General features: G+C 45.2%; 4 annotated features.

Moving 5' to 3' along the window:
* Positions 8,682–9,181: an enhancer, noted in NCBI's record as "H3K27ac hESC enhancer chr15:80332051-80332550 (GRCh37/hg19 assembly coordinates)". NCBI's record gives its function as "activates a minimal SCP1, AML or CMV promoter by ChIP-STARR-seq in primed H9 embryonic stem cells {active_cell/tissue: H9 hESC(primed)}" and the evidence as "EXISTENCE:reporter gene assay evidence [ECO:0000049][PMID:30033119]".
* Positions 14,652–15,395: an enhancer, noted in NCBI's record as "NANOG-H3K27ac-H3K4me1 hESC enhancer chr15:80325837-80326580 (GRCh37/hg19 assembly coordinates)". NCBI's record gives its function as "activates a minimal SCP1, AML or CMV promoter by ChIP-STARR-seq in naive H9 embryonic stem cells {active_cell/tissue: H9 hESC(naive)}" and the evidence as "EXISTENCE:reporter gene assay evidence [ECO:0000049][PMID:30033119]".
* Positions 15,396–16,139: an enhancer, noted in NCBI's record as "NANOG-H3K27ac-H3K4me1 hESC enhancer chr15:80325093-80325836 (GRCh37/hg19 assembly coordinates)". NCBI's record gives its function as "activates a minimal SCP1, AML or CMV promoter by ChIP-STARR-seq in naive and primed H9 embryonic stem cells {active_cell/tissue: H9 hESC(naive and primed)}" and the evidence as "EXISTENCE:reporter gene assay evidence [ECO:0000049][PMID:30033119]".
* Positions 16,140–16,885: an enhancer, noted in NCBI's record as "H3K27ac-H3K4me1 hESC enhancer chr15:80324347-80325092 (GRCh37/hg19 assembly coordinates)". NCBI's record gives its function as "activates a minimal SCP1, AML or CMV promoter by ChIP-STARR-seq in naive and primed H9 embryonic stem cells {active_cell/tissue: H9 hESC(naive and primed)}" and the evidence as "EXISTENCE:reporter gene assay evidence [ECO:0000049][PMID:30033119]".

Below are 19,223 nucleotides of genomic sequence, written 5' to 3'. Positions count from 1 at the left end.
AAGATGGTAAATTTTGGGCTCTGTATATTTTATTGCAATTTTTAAAAAAGTGATGCTAAAGAGGTACCATCTATTTTTATAATTAATTTTTGTTAGAAATGGCTATTGAATTGTATTGACTGATTTTTCCCTTCCATAAAGATGATTTTTTTTTTTTTTTTTTTTTTGAGACGGAGTCTTGTTTTGTCGCCCAGGCTGGAGTGCAGTGGCACGATCTCGGCTCACCGCAACCTCCGCTTCCCGGGTTCAAGCGATTCTCCTGCTTTAGCCACCCGAGTAGCTGGGACTACAGACATGTGCCACCATCCCCGGCTAATTTTTGTGTTTTTAGTACAGACAGGGTTTCACTATGTTGGCCAGACTGGTCTCGAACTCCTGACCCTGTGATCCACCCGCCTCAGTATCCCAAAGTGCTGGGATTACAGGTGTGAGCCACCATGCCTGGTCAAAGATGATCATTTTTATATTTGATCTATAGTTTTAAAGTAGTATATTAATAGGCTTACTTATTGAATTTTTCTTGTATTATTGATATGCTTAGCACAACTATAGTGAGTTTTTCTTTCATTATGTTGTTTAATTACATCTGTTAATGTTTTAGTTTAGATTTTTCATCTATATCTACCTGATGTAGCCCAATTCATCAGTAGTATCAAATGAGCTTACGTTAAATGATTCTAAACTCCCATTTTACCTTCCCTTACCCTCTTTTATCCTCCCTTTTATGATAATTCCAGGAAATTTACTCAGGCCAAAGGATACTTATGCTCAGAGAGAGAAAACCAGAATGCCAACTAAGTCAGCATGGGAGTCTATGCTGTTTGTTTCGTTGTTAGTTCTGTTGCTTCATCCGCTGGTGTCCCCGGCAGTCTTACTCATGTGTGTTCTCTTGTTTAGCAGTAGTTCCTCTGGGCAAGACAGGAAGGGTCTGAAAAGATCTGCTCCTGAAAGGGTTAGTATTCAAATACTCTCCCTCCACCAGCAGCAAGCAAGGCAAGATGGACTCAAAGGCTCACTTGGACTAAATCCTTCTCCCCTGTTCTCCAGGTCCCAAGTTCCCCCTATACTTTAAGATGATTGGATGCAGGCATACCCATTGCTTTGCCCCATGGGCCCATAGACAGTTCCAGAAATGAGTATGTTTATGATTTCCAGTCTTCCCCATGATGCTTGCATTCTCCATACTACATATTTCCATGTGTGAGATTGCTTTCCAACATTATGCTTGAAAACGTTCTCAGTCTCTGCCTGACTTACTGGTCCAGTCAGGTTTTTCACTCCATGTTTTATCAATTTTGATAGTATGTATTTTTATAGAAATTTGCCTATTTCATTGAAATTATTTGTTTTGTTTTTGTTTTTGTTTTTTTTCTGAGATGGAGTCTCGCTGTGTCACCCAGGCTGGAGTGCAGTGGTGTGATCTCAGCTCACTGCAACCTCTGCCTCCCGGGTTGAAGCGATTCTCCTACCTCAGCCTCCTGAATAGCTGGGATTACAGGCATGCACCACCATACCGGCTAATTTTTGTATTTTTAGTAGAGACAGGATTTCACCATGTTGGTCAGGCTGGTCTTGAACTCCTGACCTTGTTGTGATCTGCCCACCTCGGCCTCCCAAAGTGTTGGGATTACAGGCGTGAGCCACTGCACCTGGCCTCAAATTTATTTGTTAATATATACTTGTGCTGTCAGCACCCTGGGGCAAATGTGAGTTTCTTCTGAGCATGAGGATAAAATTACTGAGAATTAAACTGCAAACCCAACTCAAAAAGATCACAGTAGAGATGTTTGAAGATTTTAATTGTTGTTTTTAGTTTGTGGGCCTCTTTGAGGGTCTCATGAAGCCTGTAGATTCTCTCCTTAGAAAACTGCAAAAACTATATGTAAAGCTTTCCATCTAGTTTAGAAAGTTCCCGTATCTCCCAGAACCTGTCTGCAGACCATGGATCTATGTCCATGAGCTCTGTAACTAAAATGATGGAGCGGCTCCTAGGACTGCCGTTGTTCATTTGCCTTTAGAATGCACTGACCTATCTGAAACAAGCCAGTGTCAATCATAAAGAGGGGAAGGTTGGTCCTCGTAGAAGCAGAGACAAAGGAGAGTCAGAGATGCAATAATCAGCAGTGTTCATCTCAGCACGGTCCAGGGGATAGGCAGTTTCAGTGGCTGAATTTCACATATGCTGGTCCAGCTGACAAGGTGATCCTTATTGTAAAATGAACATTTTTATCTAGTTTACATTCTTCACAAGGATGTCTTGTTATTAGAAATGCTCAATTTATCTAACAGACTTCCTTTGTTGTGATTAATATGATTGGGCTGTTTTCCAGCCTCAGTTATATTTCTCATTTTTAATTTATAAATTGGTACTTAGATTTATACATCAGTCTTATGAACTTGGCTATTGTGAGTCTGCCTGAGAAATGGATCTGATGACAAAATCAGCATTCTGAGATGCAAAACCAAGCACTTGATACAGTAACCAAATGAGGATAGGGAATGCTGCCCCATAATGCCTCTCAGGGAACATCCCACTGGGTTCATTCAGGCAGGACATCTAACAGCATTATTGTGATGGCCAGGCTAGCTGTTCTCAACACATAGAACTATCCTATACCTAATTGTATAGCCCTTTCTTCATTCTAATTGTAATTATTCCTGCTCCTTGACTAGGATTCAAAGGATTATCTGTTTATGTTATCTTTTTAAAAATGTTTCAGGCTGTGCGTGGTGGCTCACGCCTGTAATCCCAGCACTTTGGGAGGCTGAGGCGGGTGGATCATGAGGTCAGGAGATCGAGACCATCCTGGCTAGCATGGTGAAAACCCGTCTCTACTAAAAACACAAAAAATTAGCCAGGCGTGGTGGTGGGCGCCTGTAGTCCCAGCTACTCGGGTGGCTGAGGCAGGAAAATGGCGTGAACCTGAGAGGCGGAGCTTGCAGTGAGCCGAGATGGCGTCACTGCACTCCAGCCTGGGTGACAGAGCCAGACTCCGTATCAAAAAAAAAAAAAAAAAAAAAGTTTCATCTTTTTTTTTGTTTGTTTTTAAAACAGGATCTCACTCTGTCACCCAGGCTGGAGTGCAGTAATGCAATCAGACTTATTGCAGCCTCGAACTCCCTGGCTCAAGTGATCTTCCCACCTCAGCTTCCTGAGTAGCTGGGACCACGGGCTCACACTACCTTGCCTAGGTAACTTATTTTTATTTATTTATATTTTATTTTATTTTTTTTGAGACGGAGTCTTGCTCTGTTGCCCAGGCTGGAGTGCAGTGGTGTGATTTCGGCTCACTGCAACCTCCGCCTGCTGGGTTCAAGCCATTCTCCTGCCTCAGCCTCCCGAGTACCTGGGACTACAGGCGTGCACCACCACGCCCAGGTAATTTTTTGGATTTTTAGTAGAGACGGGTTTTCACCATGCTAGCCAGGCTGGTCTTGAACTCCTGACCTGCTGATATGCCTGTCTCGGCCTCCCAAAGTGCTTGGATTAGAGGCGTGAGCCACAGCACCCGGCCTATTTTTATTTTTATTTGTAGAGACGAGGTCTCCCTAGTTGCCCAGGCTGGTTGTAAACTCCTGGGCTCAAGTAATCCTCCTATCTCAGCCTCCCAAAATGCTGGGATTACAGGTATGAACCACCACACCCAGCCACCATCTTGTATTTACTTATCAATTCTACTCTTTCTTATGGCTTCTAATTGATTTAAATACTACTTTAGGCCGGGCGCGGTGGCTCACGCCTGTAATCCCAGCACTTTGGGAGGCCAAGGCGGGCGGATCACAAGGTCAGGAGATCGAGACCATCCTGGCTAACACAGTGAAACCCCGTCTCTACTAAAAATACAAAAAATTAGCTGGGCAAGGTGGCTGTCGCCTGTAGTCCCAGCTACTCGGAGGCTGAGGCAGGAGAATGGCCTGAACACGGGAGGCGGAGCTTGCAGTGAGCCGAGATCGCGCCACTGCACTCCAGCCTGGGCGACCGAGCCAGACTCCGTCTCGAAAAAAAAAAGAGTGAAATATCTGAATAGATACTTTACCAAAGAATAATATATACACATGGCAAATAAGCATATGGAAAAAAATGTCCAACATCATTTGTCATTAGGGAAATGCAAATTAAAACAAGAGGTATCATTATGCACCTATTAGAATAGCTAAAATCCAAAAACCTAAAACACAAGTTTCTGGCAAAAATGTGGAGCAACAGGAATTCTCATTCATGGCTGATGGGAAATGCAAAATTATACAGCCACCTAGAAGGGAGTTCGGCAATTTTTTTACAAAGATCAACATAGAGTTACCGTATGATCCAGCAATCACGCTTGTTGGTATTTACCCCACTGATTTGAAAATGTCTATCCATGCAAAAAACTGCAAACAAATGTTCATGGCAACTTTATTCAAAATTGCCGAAAACTGGAAGCAACCAAGGTGCTCTTCAATAGGTGAATGGATGCATACAGTGTGATATATCTGTACAATGGAATAGTATCCAACAATAAAAAGACGTGAGCTATCAAAATGTGAAAAGATGGATGAATTTAAATGCATATTGCTAAATTAAAAAATTAAAAAAGTAGTCAAGTATGGTGGCACACACCTGTGGTCCTAGCTACTTGGGAGCTGAGGTCCTAGCTACTTGGGAGCCTGGGAGGTCAAGGCTGCAGTGAGCCATGTTTGTGCCACTGCACTCCAGCTTGGGCAACATAGCAAGACCCTGTCTCGAAAATAAATAAATGTAACTATTGGGTACTAGGCTTAGTACCTGGGTGATGAAGTGATGTGTACAACAAACCCCTGCGACGTGAGTTTACCTATATAACAATCCTGCACATGTACCCCTGAACCTAAAAGTTAAAATAAATTAAAAGAGTAAAATTCCCAGTAACCCCATAAACACCCCTGCAAACCCATTTTCTCTCCAATGAACTTGCATCAGTGACCTGCCTTGTCTAGGCCTTGGCCCAGTAGATCCCACAAGTGGCCACTATTAAGGTGTACCTGGTCCAGTGAGCAAAATGGTTGGATCCCCAGCTATTGCTGGGAATCCACCACACGTGCAGAAGACGAGGTGATGGATGTCTTCTGTTTGTCCCTCTAGATATACTTTCTCTTTCTTTCTTTTTTTTTTTTTTTTTTTGAGATAGAGCCTCATTGTCTCCCAGGCTGGAGTTCAGTGGCACGTTCTTGGCTCACTGTGACCTCTGCCTCCCAGGTTCAAGCAATTCTCATGCCTCAGCCTCCTGAGTAGCTGGGATTACAGGCACCTCCCACCATGCCTGGCTAATTTTTGTATTTTTAGTGGAGACAGGTTTTCATCATGTTGTCCTGAATGGTCTCAAACTCCTGACCTCCAGTGATCCGCCCTCCTCAGCCTCCCAAAGTGCTGGGATTACAGGCGTGAGCCACCACAACCAGCCTAGATATATTTTATCATGCCCTCCCCAACTCTGTACCCTGAGAGGCTGACCCAAATGGACTTCCTCAGTGAATATCCTTGTCCTTTAGCCTCCAGTGGTGTCTGGTGCATGGGAAGCACTGGCAGGAGATGGGAGGGAGGGAGGAGTGTCAGGATAGGTGTTTATTCTGGTTCTAGTGCTGCTGGTCATAAAAGATTGGTGACACTCTTCTACCAAAGCCATTCTCCTGTCAATGGCCTTTTCCACCCAGCCACTCTTTCCAGGTTCTAGTAACAGCTCCCTCTGCTTGTCCCTATCAGTCCAAAGCTTAGCATTCATGCCACACTATATGTGTAGAGCTTATAGGTAGCACCTTGCAAACCCACTGTGGCCTGGGTGCCAGGCAGATATGTGCTTGCCCCAGTGTGGGAAATCAGTGTTCATTAAATGAATGAATCAGTCAACAAATCACATGTTAAAGAAGTTTCAAGACACCCTTGTGACAATACAACTGAGTGGTTAGAGGACTGAGTAGTCAGTGCTGGGCTCAAACTGTGGCACCTTCAACTCACCCAGGTGAGTGATCTATGTTGTTCTAGTTCTCTAAGCCTTAGTCTCTTATCTTTAAAGTGGAGATAACAATATCTTCTTCGCTAAGTTAATTAAATGAAAAATAGTCTGTGCAAAGTGCTTAGCATAGTGTCTGGCACAAAAAAAATGCTTAGTAAACAATAAGTTATCTAATTAGTTATCTAATCCAGTCATGGCTAAAAGTAGTTGGTCTTTTGCAATAGATAAATGAGTAAGGACACAAACAGATAATTAGCAAGCAACCAAAAGTAATTGGCAAACAAAGTGGTAAACATGTTCAATCTAGCTAGTAAGCAAAGAAATGCAAAGGAAACAAACAATGAGATACCATACCTTGCCTTCAAAGCTAGAAAATTGTTTTAACTATACTTAAAGCCAGAAAGGTCATGATGAAACAAGGACTGTCAGTCATTCAGTTTGGGGCATAAAAATACTAGAAGGCAATAGTTTTTAAAATTTAAGTGCACCTACCTCTGACCTAGTAATTGTGCTTTTAGTAGTCTAGGCTACAGAAATACTCAAAGAAGTGAGTGCAGAGAAATTCCTAACACCATTGTTTGTAATAACAATAGACAGGTTGGTAGACAGGAAGGAAGGAGGGAGGGAGGGAAGGAAGGAAGGAGAGAGGGAGGGAGGGAAGGAGGGAAGGAAAGAGGGAGGGAGGGAAGTAGGAAAGGTGGGAGAGAGGGAGGGAGTGAGAGAAGAAAGGAGGGAGGAAAAGAGGGAAGGGAGGGAGGGAGGGAGGGAAGCTAAATATCCATCAAAAAGGGAACACCTAGCTAAATTATGATACAGCCATTTTATGCATTGCTATGTAGCTGTTAAAAACAAGTCCATCTCCAGGGATGCTGCCTACTGCTGTCTAGGTTGTTCACTGCACAAGGGAACTTCATTGACATCTTAGACATATACTGAGATGTGAGAGCTTGCTTGTGCTCATGTAGTTTAGTACCGGCACACATAGCCATGCACACACTCAGCAGAGCATGCACTCACACTCACCAGCACACACATGCATATGTAGTTAAAACCAGTCCCACATGTATTCTAGGAGCCCACTGAAATCTCCTCTTATTCACCTGCTGCTCCAATCCCTGCCTCCTGCCTAACTCCAAATCTGACATGGATTCCTCATGTGGAGGTGGACTGTGCCCTCTTTGGAGGCTCAAGCACACTGGCATTCAGGGAGTTCAGAGTATAAGTGGATGAGAGTGTGGTGCACAGCCAGGCCATGCCAGAGCCAGGCCACACTCTGGAAAGCACCCTTGGCAGAGCTAATCAGATTGTGCTAACTTAAAAAATACTTATTTGATAAAGGAGTGCCTTTTTCTAAATCCAGTAAAGGCATTGAATAGGCCGGTGAAGGCTCTGTAGATTTCTACGTGTATGTAAAAGGCAGGTTGCAGAACAATAGGTACTGTGTGAATCCAGTAGATAAATATGTTCATATATGTAAATGCATAGAAGAGAGACTGTTACAGTGGCTATTGCTGGACAGGAATATGGGTGGGGAAAAGAGGAAGGCAAACTGCTCTCTTTTCTTCCTTATAGTTTGAATTCGTTTGTTTGTTTGAGAGAGGGTCTGGCTCTATCCCCTGGGCTGTAGTACAGTGGTGGGATCTCAGCTCACTGCAATCTCTGCCTCCTGGGCTCAGGCAATTCTCCCACTTCAGCCTTCAGAATAGCTGGGAGTACAGGTGCATACTACAATACCCTGCTAGTTTTTTTGTATTTTTAGTAGAGATGGAGTTTCGCCATGTTGCCCAGACTGGTCTCAAACTCCTGGGCTCAGGTGATCGAGGCACCTAAGCCTCCCAAAGTGCTGGGATTACAGGTGTGAGCCACTGCGCCTGGCCTCTTCCTTATAGTTTGAATTTTTTTTAATGTGAATGTATCTACATACTACTTGTGTAATTTAAAAAATAAGTTAAAATCAGAAATAACAAAGAAGTGCCAAAGTGAGGTTTAACAACTATAGCCATTCAGTAAAATACTTCAGTTTATAAAAAGTCTAGAAGTTATCTTTGAAAGTTAAGTGAATAAAGCAGGAGAGAACATTCTATGAATATGCCAATAATATTTTAAGTGAAAAGGCAAGTCACAGAACAGTACTATGTTAAGATCCTATCTGTGTTAAAAATGTAGACACATGTATACCTACAAATGAAATAAATGCCTGTAAAGATAGATACCAAATTGAAAATAGGGGTTATTATCTCTGAGGGATGGTTTTGAGGCTAAGAGAAAGCTTATTTATGAGTGTTTGAATTTTTTCTAATGAAAATATATTAATTTTATAATAAAAATAAATTATAAACAGATACATAAAGTATGTGTTTATATAAACACATGTATTGTGTATATATATGTGTATTTTAAAATATCTATAACTATCTCCTATTTGTAAATATATATACATATTTAAATATATACACACATACACGTATAAATGTAAACACATATATGCCTAGGAAAATAGATGTTTATATTTATATATACACGTGTATATATTTATATATGTATATATATATTTACATATGTGGCATTATAGGTGATGATTACTATTGGCTTTTTTATTCATGTGTTTTTCATATTTTCACCAATTTTATAATCTAGTAAGAATTTTTTTAAAAACGAAAAGGTTATAAAAAAAGGAAAAACCTAATAAAATTGTATAGTATAATCACTAGTGAGTGAAAGTAAGCATAAATTTTGTACATGGAAAAAAAATCTAGGAAAAACTAGAATTAGTGGAAATTTAGATGTTAAAACTTTTTTTTTTCCTCTTTTTATTCCCCCCAAGTCTATGATAATGAATGAATATTAGTTCCGGTGCTAGAAGAAAGTATAATGTAAAAATGTAAATATTTATTAGGTGCACCCAAAGATCATCATTTTAGAGATGGAGAAACTTAGGGGCAAGCAGGGGCATTGGCTGCTAAAGGGGGTGCAGGCTGAGGCAGGTCTCACCTCTGGGTTCTAGAGCTCCTTCCAGCCCCCTTCAAGCTGCCATCACATTTCTGTTCTCGAGTTTGGAGAAAAGGGACACACACCGGTTGGTGCCCGTGCTGGCAGTCTGCTCACATCACACCTAACTGAGGGGTCTCCCCAGGGCCTTGAGCTCCTGGCTGGCTAATTCTACTTAGTGCTAGGGTAACTGAGGTCAGACATCCATGAGGTGGCAAAGTGGGGTGATCAGTTTGTCCCAGTTTGCCTCAGATTTCCCCAGTTTTAGCACCTAAAATCCTGCATTCCAGGAAATCTCTTGGGCCTATAAAAACCAGAACAGGACCAGGCACGGTGGCTCACCCCTGCAATCCCAGTACTTTGGGAGGTCAAGGTGGGTGGATCACCTGAGGTCGGGAGGTGGGGAGTTCGAGACTGGCCTGGCCAACATGGTGAAACCCCGTCTCTATTAAAAATACAAAAATTAGCCGGGCGTGGTAGTAAATGCCTGTCGTCCCAGCTACTCGGGAAGCTGAGGCAGGAGAATCTCTTGAACCCAGGAGGCGGAGGTTTCAGTGAGCCAAGATCGTGCCACTGCACTACAGCCTGGGTGACAAAGCAAGACTCCATCTCAAACAACAACAACAACAACAACAGCAACACAGAACAGTTGGTCACCCTAGAGTGAATTGTGATTCCCAAGAACACCAAACTGGGAACCAGGAGATCACCATTCTCACCCGAACTCCCTGTGTGGTATTACCTCACCTCTCTGGGCCTCAGTTTGCTTATCAGTGAAACAGTATCATCTCCCCGGACTCTACCTTAAAGGGTCGTTTCAAATAAAAAAAAAATGTGAAATTACATTGTAAACTAAGGACTGTGTCCATAGGGGAGGGTCAGGGTGGACTTTGCCCTTGGGGGAGTCAGCTAGAGCCATGGAGGCATGACCACAGCGTTCTGATCACAGCTTACTCTCCATTCTCCTTGACATCCAAAGTCACGCCCACCTAAAATCCTCTCATGAGGTTAATCCAACAAGTCTTCAGCTCTGGTGAGGTGGGACTCCGAGGGTTCTACAAACTTTTTCTGTAAAAGCCTTTGATGGTTAATTTTTTTTTTTTTTTTTTTTGAGACAGAGTCTTGCTCTGTCGCGGCTGGAGTGCAGTGATGCAATCTCAGCTCACCGCAACCTCCACCTTCTGGATTCAAGTGATTCTTCTGCCTCAGCCTCCCAAGTAGCTGGGATTACAGGCGCGCACCATCACGCCCAGCTAATTTTTGTATTTTTAGTAGAGACAGGGTTTCACCATATTGGCCAGGCTGGTCTTGAACTCCTGACCTCGCAGTCCATCCACCTTGGCCTCCCAAAGTGCTGGGATTACAGGTGTGAGCCACGGCGCCTGGCTTTGATGGTTAATTTTATGTGTCAATTTGGCTGGACCACAGTACCCAGATATTTGGTCAGACATTATTCTGGATGTTTCTGTGAGAGTACATTTGGATGAGATTAACATTGAAATCAGTGGATTTTGAGTAAAGTTGGTTGCCCTCCACAATGTTGGTAGGCCTCATCCAATCAGTCAAAGGACTGAATGGTACAAAGACTGACCTCCCCTGAGGAAGAAGGCATCCTGCAGCAGACAGCCTTCAGACTCAAACTGCAACCTTGGCTCTTCCCAGGTCTTCAGCCTGCCAGTCCACCCTGCAGACTTTGGACTTGCCAGCCTCCATAATCACATGAGCCAGTTCCTTAAATCTCTCTCTCTTTTTTTCTTCCTTTCTCTCTATCCTATTGGTTCTGTTTCTATGGAAAACCCTGACTAGTACAAAATCCAAATAGAACATGTTTTAGGCTCTGCAGGTCATGTGATCTCTGTCACATCTACTCGACTCTCCCATTTTAGCTCAGAAGCAGCCATAAACAATACACAAGGTATTGTCCACCTTGGCCTGCTGACATTTGAGGCTGGATCATTGTTTGTTATGAAGGCTGTCCTGTGAACTGTAGGATATTTAGCAGCATCCTAGTCTCTACCCAGTTGATACCAGTAGCACTCCTCAGTTGTCACAACCCAAAATGTAACTGGGGGGAGGGAGGTCTGATATAAATAAATGAGCATGACTGTATTCTATTGAAACGTGATTTACAAAATAGGTGCTATTTTGTAGATACATTATTGTAAAACATTATTTACAAAATGGTTGGTTTGGCCCATGGGCCATAGTTTGCTCTAGGCAGCAGGGTCAACCAATGTCAGCAATGACCTGGAGCTTTGAGGAAGGAGACCCATCATCGGAGAGTGATGAGGGAGCCTGCAGGAGACCTGTAATGTCAAGCCAGATTCCCCTTCCAAAGCATTGGATGGAGCCAAGTCCCAGGCTGAGGATCCTTGCTATATCTTACCTGGAGGTTGTTGGGTCAGATGATGATGCTGTACCTTTGACAGTGCAGTTGCTGCAATGACGGGAGGCCTAAAAGAAGCTTTAATTTTCTTTTTTTTTTTTTTGGAGACAGAGTCTCGCTCTGTTGCCCAGGCTGGAGTGCAGTGGCGCGATCTCGGCTCACTGCAACCTCTGCCTCCTGGGTTCAAGCAGTTCTACTGCCTCAGCCACCCGAGTAGCTGGGACTACAGGTGCACGCTGCCACATCCAGCTAATTTTTTTTTTTGTATTTTAGTAGAGACGGGTTTTCACCGTGTTGCCCAGGCTGGTCTCAAACTCCTGAGCTCAGGTACTCCGCCTGCCTCAGCCTCCCAAAGTGTTCGGATTACAGGCGTGAGCCACCGTGCCGGGCCAAGAAGCTTGAATTTTCTTACTGTGCATCCCAGCTGGGGTTGAAGGTTTGTAGAAGAGGGGGATGTTAGGTGCCTCACCACATCTCCTCTGGGCTTCCCTAGTGGCCGCCTCATTTCCTTCTCACCGTTTCCACAATCTTCAATCCATCAAGAAACTGTATTTTTGAACCTTTTCGCATTTTCATTTGGCAGCCAAAGTAGGGTAGCCTGTTTCACATGGAAAGTAATTTTGTTTCACGCTTGTCTATCACCCTCTTAGCCCTGGCATGTAAATAGGGGAGAAGGAGGCAGGGGAAGTATCCACAGACCCCCAGGGAGGAGGGTCATTGCAGGGGTTGCTGGGGAAGAGTTCATTATCTGTGGCCTAGCCTTGTGTCCTCAACACTGGGCACATGCCATGCTCTCAAAGCTCTGGTTAATAGGAGCTTCATAGGAAGTTATATTTCAAAGGGAGACAATTTTCCTGATCATGCTATTTGCAAAGGGGATGGGAGCATTTTTGTATTTGTATTTATGAGCATGACTGTTCTAATGAAACATTATTTACAAAACAGGTGGCCAGCTGGTTTGGCCTGTGGGCCATAGTTTGCTAACACTGCTATAGGCAATGGGGACATCCAGTGTCAGCACTGACCTGGAGCTTTAAGGAAAGGGACCTATTGTTGGAGAGTGATGAGGGGGACTACAGGAGACCCATAATGTCAAGGAATGACAACATAAAGCCACCCTTAGGGAAAGAGCCTTCCAGGAAGTCTTGGCAGGGAGTTGTGCCAGGGCCTTAAATGCAGTTGGCAACCAATGCTACCCAATCAGGCCAGCCACCTGCAACACACTAGAGGCCCAGCAATGGTTCTGAAACCCTAATGTATATGAGAATCACCTTGAGAGCTAATGCAGCTGGCTGAGGTCCAGGCTCATTGGAGTACACAAGGGCCTGGGCCTTTGTGTTTTCACCATGTGCTCCAGATGAGCTCAAGCTCATTCCAGCCAAGAATTGAGAACCACTGGGTTCAAGGCTTGCTACTCAAAGTGTGGTGTGTGGACGGGCAGCATCAGTATTATCTGAGTGCTTGCTACAAATGTAGCATCTCTGAGCCCACCAGGACCTACTAAATCAGTGTTGTCATTTTGACAAGGTCCTTAAGGATTTTTATTCACCTTATAATTTGGGAAGCATTAGAGCTGGATCATAGAGGAACTGGGCAGCAGGTGGGCCCCAAGAAAAGTTGGCCCCAGGCCCAAAGAAAAGACTTCAGCTGAACAAGGTCACTCATCTGAACTGACAAAAACAAGGAAGAGTCCAGTCAGACAAAAGAACTCTCAAGTGAGGAGAACAGGAGCCGTCTGTTACTCAAGGAAATGGATCCCGAGTCTGGGGTGGCAAAGAAATCTTGGGGAGCAACACAGGCCCTGGCCAGGCCAGAGGTCAACTGCAACAATAGGCCCCAGGTGCTCATCTCATTTGCAGGGCCTCTCACAGGCCACATTTGTGCTTTGCCCAGGCTCCCTGCCCCAGGCCAGTGCCTGCCTGAGTCCTAACCCCTCCAACTTTGCTCTTTCTTAGCCCCAAACTCAGCCTTCACATCTGGTGATGAAATGCAGCTTCTTTGCTTCACAGGCCCTGATAACCAGCCTGCATTCCCTGTTGCTCTAGGAAACTCTCCTGGGGAGTCTGGGAGTGGAGAGTGCATTTGGAAAGCCCCTAGGTGGTTCTGATAGACAGCTCCTATACATGACTCCACTTTGTGGGTTCCAGAAACTACCAGTCTGTCCCCTGATCCATCAGGCCTAACAAGTAAGATCTCCACTGCTAGTGAAGGCAGATCACTGCACTGTCTCTGGGGTTCCTGTCTATCCCACCCATAAGTTGGTAAGTAGTCCTTTTGAAAATAAATCTTCCTCATGTTATCCTAACTTGAGTGCACCTGTCGGGATCCTGATTGATACAATGGATCAATGATGGGAAACATCCCATCCTTAGTGGGAGATCTCATCTCAACCCACAGTGGTACCGACAGGGTAAGCTTACCAGAATCCAGGAGTGCAACATTGGAATTTGACATGTACAACAAGGGGCTCATTTTACTACAAGAGATATAGGGAAAACATCCTAACAGTAGGCACAATCTAACCATGAACCACACCCCAGAAAGGGAGTGAGCCACCCATGAAGGCAGATTCAAGCAAAAGCTTAAGGCCCATTTATCGACAGAGTACAGCAAGTTTGCTTTCCTGCTCAGGTGGGAGGCTGGGCTCAGTGACCCAGACAGTTCCCTCCAGCTCTGAGGCTGTGTCTACAAATAGCCCCGTGATCCTCCTACACCCTCCTCACAGCTCTCCAGGGACTCAGGTGCTAGCTGATGGTAAATGTGTTGATGGGGGAAAAATAAAAGATTGGAACTTCCCTTAATACCTTGTTTTCCTCCTCATCACCCGACTGATGGTGACTGACCCTGAGGGTGCAGATGGGTGGGGTGGGGATAGAACCCAAAAGCATTGTCAGCTCAGAAGGTCAGAAAAGTCAGCATGCAGATTTCCCAGGAGGCGTATGTAAAACATAGGATCCCCATCTAGGCAGCTGCCAGACCCGAGGCTGTGGGCGGTGGAGCAGCCAACATGCCGGAGATCTGCCCAGGAAACTCCAGCACATGGGAAGTCTGGCAGGCAAAAGGCAAGGCCACTTCAGGGGGGAAGGGGGCAGGCGGCAGTCAGATATTGGCCAAAGGGGCCTGCGCAGCCTTAAAAGAGTCCCCATGGAGTGGGAAAGTGAGAAACGGCTGGGTTTCAGGCAGCATGCATTTTCTGGCTTGGTCCCTGGGGTCTTGGTGTCCCGTATTTCAGTTGCAACAGAAGAGAATTTAGGAGGCGGGTAGAGGGGAGTACATGGCAGGAGTCAGAGGCTTTAAGCCCCACTGAACAGAGAGAGACTAAGACCACTCTTTTTTTTGTTTGTTTGTTTTGTTTTGTTTTGTTTAAGACAGAGTTTCACTCTTGTCGCCCAAGCTGGAGTGCAATGGCACGATCTCGGCTCACTGCAACCTCCACCTCCTGGGTTAAAGTGATTCTCCTGCCTCAGCCTCCCAAGTAGCTGGGACTACAGGCGTGCGCCACCATGCCTGGCTAATTTTTGTATTTTTAGTAGAGACAGGGTTTCACCATCTTGGCCAGGCTGGTCTCGAACTCCTGACCTCATGATCTACCCACCTCGGCCTCCCAAAGTGCTGGGATTACAGGCGTGAGCCGCCGCGCCCGGCCATAAGACCACTCTTAACTCATTCATTAGTGAACCCCTGCTCCATGGAGTACCATGCTAGCTGCTAAGGATAGAGTGATGAAGAGCAGCAGGGTCTCCACCCTCCTCACTGGCTCAAGGCCACTTGTCCTGCCTCCATCAGGACTAACTAAGCAGCCGAGGTGTGGCTGAGTCAGCAGGCAGGAAGTGTGAGTGGCCTGCATCTTAGGAGCTGGGGCTGGCAGGGTGCCAGATTAGAGAGGCAGGTGCTGAGGCTAAGATTCCACGCAGCAGTTAATGCCTCTCCCTCTATTATCCCCGATCCAGACCAGCTGTCCTGGCGTGTGTGCAGACCTGCAAGTTCAGCAAAGCCCACAGACTTCAGTGTGACCAACTGTCCCAGTTTGCCCAGAACTGGTTTGGTTTTAGCATTGTCCCAGGAAACCCCTCTAGTGCAGGACTGAGGTCCTTGGGGCTGAGTGAGGAGTGGCCGCATGCCAAATGAGTAATTGCTGGTGCTGTGGCAAAGCCCCCAGGCTTGGTCCTTGGAAGTTTGAACACTGTTGGGCTGGTGTTTGTTCCCAGCTGCCCTGAATGACCACACAGCTGGGTGTTTGGGAAACAATTAGTGGCATTCCTGACCCAAATACCTCCAATCTTGTTCATTAGTCACTCATATATGAGGAAATGAATTCAGGAAAAACACAATCATATATTATTTTGGTGTGAGTGTCTGCTCCCCAGTGTCACCCTGGTGTTTCGTTCTCTTATCACTCTAGATTGTGAATTTTTATTTGTAGCTGTCTTTCCCACCAGGTTCTCTCATAGAATCCTGAGTCTGGTGACTTAGTGTATCGCACATAATAGGGACTCCAGAAGTGTTTCATGAATAAATGCATGAAGATTCAATCTGTCTGTTGCAGAAACTAGGAGCCAAAAGGGCAGAATGAATGGTGAAACTGATCATTTTGAAAAGCGGTAAGTCAAAGTGAGAGGACCAGAATAGACACTGTAGGAAGTCTGGTTTCAAGCCAGCAAACAGGAAGCATTCAAACAACAACTCACAATCGTCCATGGGGCCTCGTTTGTTAGATTTCCTGGCAGAGGCTCTGTTTGTTTAGGGGCCTCCCTTCCAGCTGCTTTGCTGCCAGGCCCAATGTCTTCTCTCTTTTGCTGGCTGTTCATTCCTCCAACGCACATTTACTCAGGCACTGAGTCAGGCACTGGGCTGGGCATTGGGAAGGTGCAGAGGCTAGAAACAGGATGTCCTCCTAGGGGATGCATTATACACACACACACACACACACACACACACACACACACACACACACACAGCCAAGATGCAGTAGGAAAAGCAGTTAAGGCTGGGCGTGGTGGCTCACGCCTGTAATCCCAGCACTTTGGGAGGCCAAGGCGGGCAGATCATGAGGTCAGGAGAGCCAGACCATCCTGGCTAACACGGTGAAACCCCGTCTCTACTAAAAAATACAAAAAATTAGCCGGGCGTGGTGGCGGGCGCCTGTAGTCCTAGTTACTCGGGAGGCTGAGGCAGGAGAATGGCATGAACCTAGGAGGCGGAGCTTGCAGTGAGCCGGGATCGTGCCACTGCACTCCAGCCTGGGTGACAGAGCGAGACTCCGTCTCAAAGAAAAAAAAAAAAAAAGAAGTTAAGTGTCAGGAGGTATGGGTGCCTTCTTTTGAAGGGCGTTGTGTGACCTGACAGGTGTAAGCCAAGCTCTTTAAAGGCCAAAAGGATGCCATCCCCTGTTTGACGTGGGCCTGCCCTGCAGCTCCTCCTTGCATCTCCTGCACCTGCTTTCTTGCTCATCTCTGCAGGCTCTAGGCTTGTCTCTATATATGACTGTCAAATGCCACTGGCATGTAAGTGCTCCACTTGGCTCTCAGCCCCTCCTGTGCTGGCTGACACTGGCAGCTGACTGTGTTTTACTCATTCTCAACTCCACCCTCTCCTGCCCAATTGACTTTGATGCTGGGTGTTTGCCTCCTATGCCTACCAGCGCATTAAATTTTTATATGCAATGCTTCCTCTTTGCAGGCAGTGGGTTGGGTGCTGGGACTCTATTGGTAAACAAGTTTCTGTGGAGCTCATTATGGAGGAGGAGGGAGACAATAACCAGTCAATTATATCCAGTGTGATAAGTGCTATAATGGCCTAAGCTCCTGGGGCCATAGGGTGGAGTAGGGATTGGAGGTGGCCAAACCTGAAGTAAGGAGACCAGCAAGGAGGCTGCAGCTCTGTTTTTCAGTGGTACGTTGTGCCATGATTACAGTTCCATTTCTTTATCCATCTGTCTCCACCACCCATCTCTTCATTCATTCATGGGCTCCTTCAACAAGCTCTTGAAACACCTATTATGTGTCAGACACCCTGCTAGGTCCTGGGAATACCATGATAAAAAAGACTGGTTCTTCTACCACATTGGACTTTTGGCTTCCCAAATGTGTCCAGCTCCTCCCTGCCTCAGAGTCTTCACACTCACTGTTCCCTCTGCTTGAAAGATCATAGTCCCCATCTCCTTGACCAATTTACCTCCTCTAGCCTTTAGACCTCAGCTCAAAAGTCACCTCCTCAAGGAGGATGTCCCTGACCTCTTAACCAGTTCAGAGCCCCATTATGATGTTCTCACAGCAACCTGTAATTTTCTTTCATAGCACCTGTAATTACATATTTATTAGTGAGACTATTTCATTAGCGTTGGTCTCCCCAACACTTGGTCCTCTGTCAAGGACTCATTTATTATAACATTTATACTGTCTAACCCCTGGTAATGTATTTAATACATATAAATTAAGTGGATGGATAGATGATGGTTGGATGGATGGGATGGATGGATAGATGATTGCATAGGTTGATGGATAGATGATTGCATAGGTTGATGGATAGATGATTGGAAGGTTGGATGGATGGGATGGATGATTGGATGTTTAGATGGATGAATGCTTGGATGGTTGAATGGATGGATGGTTGGTTGGATGGATGGTTGGTTGGATGGATGGATGGATGGATGGATGGATGGATGAATGGATGAATGAACTGGAGCTGAGGCAGAGTAAAGGCAAGGACACATTCAGAGACTGATCCAGTAGTCAGAGCAGAAAAGAGATGAGAATTGGTGAATGGGCCAAGACAGTAAAAGTGGAAAAGCTGAGGAGGGAATTGACAGCAGGAATCTGCAGAATTTGGTCTCTGATTGAATGTCAGGGGTGAAGCAGAGGGAGGAGTGCAAGGTGACAGCCAAGCTTCTGACTGAGGGCTAGGGAGGCTGGAAACAAAGGAGAGCAAATCTGGAGGTGTAGGATAAAGAGGATGACTCCTGAATTTAAGAATCTGCTGAGGCAATCAAGTGGAAATTTAAAATGATTTTGGGCCACTATGGTAGTTAAGATAATACTGCTATCTGCCATAAGAAATAAATTCTACAATTTCAGTGGCTTAACACTATAGATGTTTTGGGTTTATTTTATTTTATTTTTGTTTTGCTCCACATGACAATCCGATGCAGGTATTTCAGATCAGCATGGCAACAAGGTGACATGGTGGTTTAGGGGACCAGACTCCTTCCCTCTTGTGGCTCCACCATATCATCTTAGCCCAAAAGGGCCATCTAGCATTTAAACCCTCTTGCAAACTTTATAAGGCAGAGCCTACCTCCCACCATAAAGCGAAAAATGCCCAACTCGTACTTTCTCAGATTTCCTTGCGTCCAAGGCACCGGCACATGGCCTAGTCACTGTCATTCAGACACTTCTCCCTCAGACTTTGATTTGGAAGCTAATGGCATACAGAATCCATTCAGGTGAAGGAGGCAGCAGGAGAGTTTGTCCTGCCAGTGTTCTGAGGCTGGCATGGCACCTATTCCAGCTGCAGCATCTAGTATTCAATGTCAGTGATATTAGTGGCCCAGGATTCTATGACTTTGTCCACTGATGGCACTTCTGTGGCATGATCTTTGACGTTTTTTGCTGTGTTGCCTAGTGTCCTTTCAGAGATTCTGTGAACTATTTAATATTTTTAACATTTTTTTTCTGTGTAAATTCACGAAGGTTGCTTTCTGTTGCTTGCAACTAGACACTTGGTCTCATATAGGCGAAGTATAAATGTACAGATAGCATTTGGATATGCAGTTGTAGAGCTTAGGAAATCTGGGGCAGAGATATTCATGGAGGTGGTTAAAGCCATGGGAGTGGATACGACTGCTCTGCTGCTGGGCACGGTAGCTTACGCCTGTAATCCCA

Source organism: Homo sapiens, chromosome 15 (genome assembly GCF_000001405.40).
Source record: "Homo sapiens chromosome 15, GRCh38.p14 Primary Assembly".
Taxonomy (NCBI): Eukaryota; Metazoa; Chordata; class Mammalia; order Primates; family Hominidae; genus Homo; species Homo sapiens.
The sequence above is the reverse complement of the archived record's forward strand: the minus strand, read 5'-3'. Positions and strand labels throughout refer to the sequence as shown.